The sequence below is a fragment of the Homo sapiens genome, chromosome 4, assembly GCF_000001405.40.
Source record: "Homo sapiens chromosome 4, GRCh38.p14 Primary Assembly".
NCBI lineage: Eukaryota > Metazoa > Chordata > Mammalia > Primates > Hominidae > Homo > Homo sapiens.
Window position 1 is genome coordinate 81562200 of NC_000004.12, and position 4979 is coordinate 81567178.

General features: G+C 37.0%; 1 annotated feature.

The window, feature by feature from the left end:
* Positions 336-505: an enhancer, noted in NCBI's record as "active region_21657". NCBI's record gives its function as "activates an Ori minimal core promoter by ATAC-STARR-seq in GM12878 lymphoblastoid cells {active_cell/tissue: GM12878}" and the evidence as "EXISTENCE:reporter gene assay evidence [ECO:0000049][PMID:35858748]".

The window sequence follows — 4979 nt, forward strand, 5'->3', positions numbered from 1 at the left end:
TTACTCAGAATGATAAAGAGCTAGGTCCCCTTGCAGGCATATACATTCACTTGGTGTTTCCTATATTGCCTGGAGTTTCTGCTTTCACTTCTATTTCAAGCATCCTTCCTGTACGTAAAAACAGGGGGTTCCTACAAAGGAGGAAATGAAACCAGCAGCTGTAATCATGAAAATGAGAAAGTATTTTTTCCCTCCAACCTGTATAAATGGTGGAGTCTATGTCATAACTGAAGAATATTCTTCCTATATCAGCTTTTTCAGATCAACATTCTAATGTTGACTCTCTTTGAGATTCTAACCAGGAGTAGCACCTTGTGCTTATCTACAGCCTCCTCATGGAACCAAATCATTTCATTTTACAAATGAAGAAACTGAGGCCTAGGTAAGCTTGTCACTAGCCCAAGTTCAGAAAACCTGTTACTGGGAGATCTGACATGGTGAAAGTGTTCCACAGCAGACTGGTTATATTACACTAACTTATTGCATTTAGACTCTTTTTCAAGGATGCCTTAAATCTTTGAGAGAAGTGTAATACCTGACTCAGGTATTTTAAATCTATTATTGAGTCTCCACATGGAAGTTTCTCCTCTTACTGAAAATCATGCTAGATGGGTACAACTAATAAATCCTAATACATTTAATAAGTGATATAATATGACCTTAAATTCCTTGCTATAGTTTCCATGTACTTCAGAAACAGAGGAATAAAAGCTATATTTTCTTTCTCAAGATATCTGTGAGGAAGATCAATGGTGAGTAGATTTCCCTCTAGTATGGACATTCTGTGAACAAAATTCTCTTTATCCATTTGGATGCCATGAAGTAATATATTACCAATAAATATAAAAACAATACACCTGGTTTAAGTATAAGGCTTGAATCACTGCTACTTCAAAAGGAGTCGAAGGATTTTATTTATAGGTTGGAGAATACAGGAGATTCAGAAAAGGAATAGCCTTTTAAAAATCATTATTTCGAATGAGAAAAGGAAGACAAAGTTTAAAATAAGCAAGATGAGAGAGAAAAAACTTTTTGACATCTGAGTAAACAAAACAACCTCAGATGTCTTTGATTAGTGTTTTCACACAGGGTGCTGTCAAGAAAGTTTCCATCCAAATGAATTCTATTTTTTAGTTCATATCTTTGTAAAATACATCTTGCTAGAAAAATGAATTTATCTTGTATAATTTATACAATATGGTTAAAACTGACAAAAGAAAATAAAATATTAAGGCAAAATTAAAACAATCTGGTAAAAAAAATTATGTTCAAATATCAAATACATAAATTCACAAAATAAGTGGAAAAATCTAAATACACTGATATGTACAATGACCAATAAATATACACATTGACATATACCCTTTCAATATACTAGGCAATAATTGAGCTCTTAATGGAGATTATGTTGCAAAGCAAAAATATTTATGATATGTAGAGATGTTACAAACTTGTACTATATATACAAAATGATGAGCTCTATAATTCCATCTGATTACTCCCATTTAAAAGAAAACCAGCAGTCATTTAAATGGTAGTTTCTGAAAGACCATAATATTAAGAGTGGGTATCTTTGGTAAAAGTTTTGAGATCTAAAAAGTTTTTATTTTTAAAATTTTGTAAAATAGCCACAAATTAAAGTTTTTAGGGTAATAAATATGTTTTGATTTTGGAGAAAATAATCTGCCCTTCCTTTCTGCAAATATTATTTCCACTGTCAAGTTTGTGGTCAATAAAGCTCAACAATTGGCTAGGATTTCCTCAATTTATATTAAAAAGTACTTCATTTTTCCTGAATTCACCTGGAAGTCTCTGTTAATGAGATCATAGATGAGAATATAAAACAAAACAAAAACAAAACACACTGAAACCGACAAACTGACAAATTTGACACACTAAAGTTCAGGTATTTTGCTCACGTACTGATTCAGAGCCTATTTCCTGTTACCTTATCCATAATTTTTGTACACATAGCTATTTGACTTCCAAGACTTTAGTAGATTAGAGCCAACAAGTTGAATGGGGGTTGAGAAGGGGTGGAGTAGCTACTGATAGTGTGGCAACAAGGAAAGGAACAGAAAATTATAAAAAGAAAACCTTGAAGCATCCGGTTGATATACAGATTGTGGCATAGGGGCAAACAAGTCTACAACCTTCAGTAGGTCCCAGATCATTAATATATAATTGTAGAGGAAAATAACTAAATTTTAACAATAGTTAACACTGAGTAATAAAGAAAGGCAAAAATATAACCAGAATATACTTTTTAAGAAGCTGAAAAATGAATTACATTGTTTAATATAATTCCACATAAAAAGCTTACAATAAAATTAATCTAGTGTTTCAAGGGACAAATGATCAACTATGTTGAATGATTCATCCCCAGCTGTTTTAGGATCTTTTTTTTTTTTTTTTTTTTGAGACAGAGTCTTGCACTGTCACCTGGGCTGGAGTGCAATGGCACGATCTTGGCTCACTGCAACTTCCACCTCCCGGGTTCAAGCAATTCTCCTGCCTCAGCCTCCCGAGTAGCTGGGATTGCAGGTGCCCGCCACCACGCAAGTCTAATTTTTGTATTTTTAGTAGAGACAGGGTTTCACTATGTTGGCCAGGAGGGTCTCAAACTCCTGACCTTGTGATCCGCCCACCTCGGCCTCCCAAAGTGCTGGAACTACAGGCATGAGCCACCACTCCTGGTAGGATCACTTATTTTTAGGGTAATTAAAAAAAAACTTCTGCTGACTTTTTGCATCACTTGAGAACACGTGCTTCTTTCTTAGTGTTAGCCCAATATTAGGGCTATTATGCTAATATTTCTGCCCAACTGAAACCATATAGACAGGTCATAATGGTACCAAAAGACAAGAATGTGACTAGCTTGTCCCGTCCTTGCTTTCTATGGATGTTCATCCTTGCATCCACTGTGGACTAACACATGTTTTATGCTGGCAGATCAGTACATTACTCCTGTGCAGCTAGTTCTGTTGTTGCCTGGTAGAGCTTGCTGATGTCCTTTCTATGGCACAGCCAGCTGCTTGCAAAGAGCAGATCAGGGTTAGACATAGTTCTAACCCTGGAGAACTGGGTTCCAGTTGCCAGAGCTCAGTCCTAAAATTGGGCAATCTAGCATCCGGGTGATGATAACAACACTGACAAACTGCTGACACAGAACCCCCAAATTCTTTATCATCACAGAATAAATAATACTCCTTAAAATGAATCATAGGCAAACCCTTAGGTCAAAATCCAGTTGGGTGTATTTTTGACTTGTTCCTTTGAGTGAGGGCCCCTCTTCCTATCCTTCTTCCTCCATTTAGGTACTCAAGTTTTTCTAGTGTAAAAGTGTCACTTTTGTGAATGTGAGTCCCCTCTTTGCCTTTCTCTCTCAACATTTCCATTTCCCTCATCTTCTAGTCTGGAGGTTGCTCTGCTGAGTCCCCGCCTCCCACAGCTCCTTGGCCACAGTCCGAGGCTGGTGGGTGGAACGCTGTTTGTCAGGGACTGTCTGGGTCAGAAGTGGCTGGGCTGCTGCTCAGCTGGAGGGACAGACACGGTCTCCAGCTGCACAGCCAGTGGATAAAGGACCCTTTCACTGTCCTCTCTTCTCCTCACAGGATAACGGATCACAGGAGTTTCTTTTTCCTTTCCTGCTCCTTACCCAGCTGTCACAGCATCCCCTTCCCTAGCATTCTGCCTCCCAGATGGAACATGGGGACAGAAAGCTAGAGAGATCCATCATTGGCACCTGGAAACTATCTACCCCAAATTTATATCTAAAAGGAAAGAGTCTCATCTAAATCAAAATATTTGCCCTCTTGTCAAGCGTCATGTCCCCTTCAATTCCTCAGTTTCCACTGAATTTCCGTCTGGAGATTTTTATTCCCATTTCTCTTGCAGCCAAGGTCAGCAATCCCCCAGTCACTTGTTGTGGGGGCTACTTTTCTTCAATAGACTGTTTGTTTTGTTTTCGACTCAGTTTCTTGTTTCAATTTCTGCTTTTCTTTCCCCTTTTCACTCCTCCCTAGCCAGTTGCTCTCTGACCCTTCACTAATTCCGCCTCCTCCTCTCCTGATTTCTTTCCAGATTGTTCTTCACTCTGTCCCATTTCACTCTCTGGCCTCACGCCCCTCCCAATGTCACCCATCCCTTTCTCATTCTCATTTGTTCCCCTTATTCTTTTGGTAATTTCTGCCCCCGTGATCCTTATCTTTTCTGTCCTAAATGTTCTGTTTGTCTTCCTTTCCCTCATCCGATAAACTGAATCCAGTGAGAAGGAAAGACACTTCCTGCCCTATGAAATTGTGCCATTGCATTTTAACAAAAATAAGCACTGCCAGTAAAATTGCTTAACACTAATGAAACATAAATGTTTGTAGAAAGACAGGAAGCAGGACAAAAAGTACTTATTTGCTATGATTGAAGTTAAAATTTGAAACTGTGAACTGAAAAGGAGACATTCTTTTAATAGTTAATGAGCCAAAGTTGGTAAACGCAGTGTTAATATTTCTAGGGTTTATGACCAATTCTGTCCTACTAAGCATGTTAATCAAATATTGGACAATTTATTACCTCTTTGTATAATTCTTGTTTTTTAAAATTATTAATTTTAATAGCATAAATCCATTGTAAAAAAAATTAAAAATAGAAAAGGATATACCATGAAGTTATTTTCCCCTGTACCCAAATCCTAGGCCACTTTTCCAAATGTAAACACAGTTCATTCATAATAATAATGTGTATATGTATGTTTATATAACATGCACATAAATAATATGTATATATAACTATGTTTCTCTATATGTTTATTCTCCCCTTTTTATACAAATGGAAGCATACTATACATATTATAATGCAACTTGCTTCATTCACATAACGATACAGGATGGAATAAATTTCACATAAGCACATATAAATCTACTTCACTCTTTTCCATGATTGCATAGCACCCCCACTTTTTTAGAGATTCAGGGGATTCATGT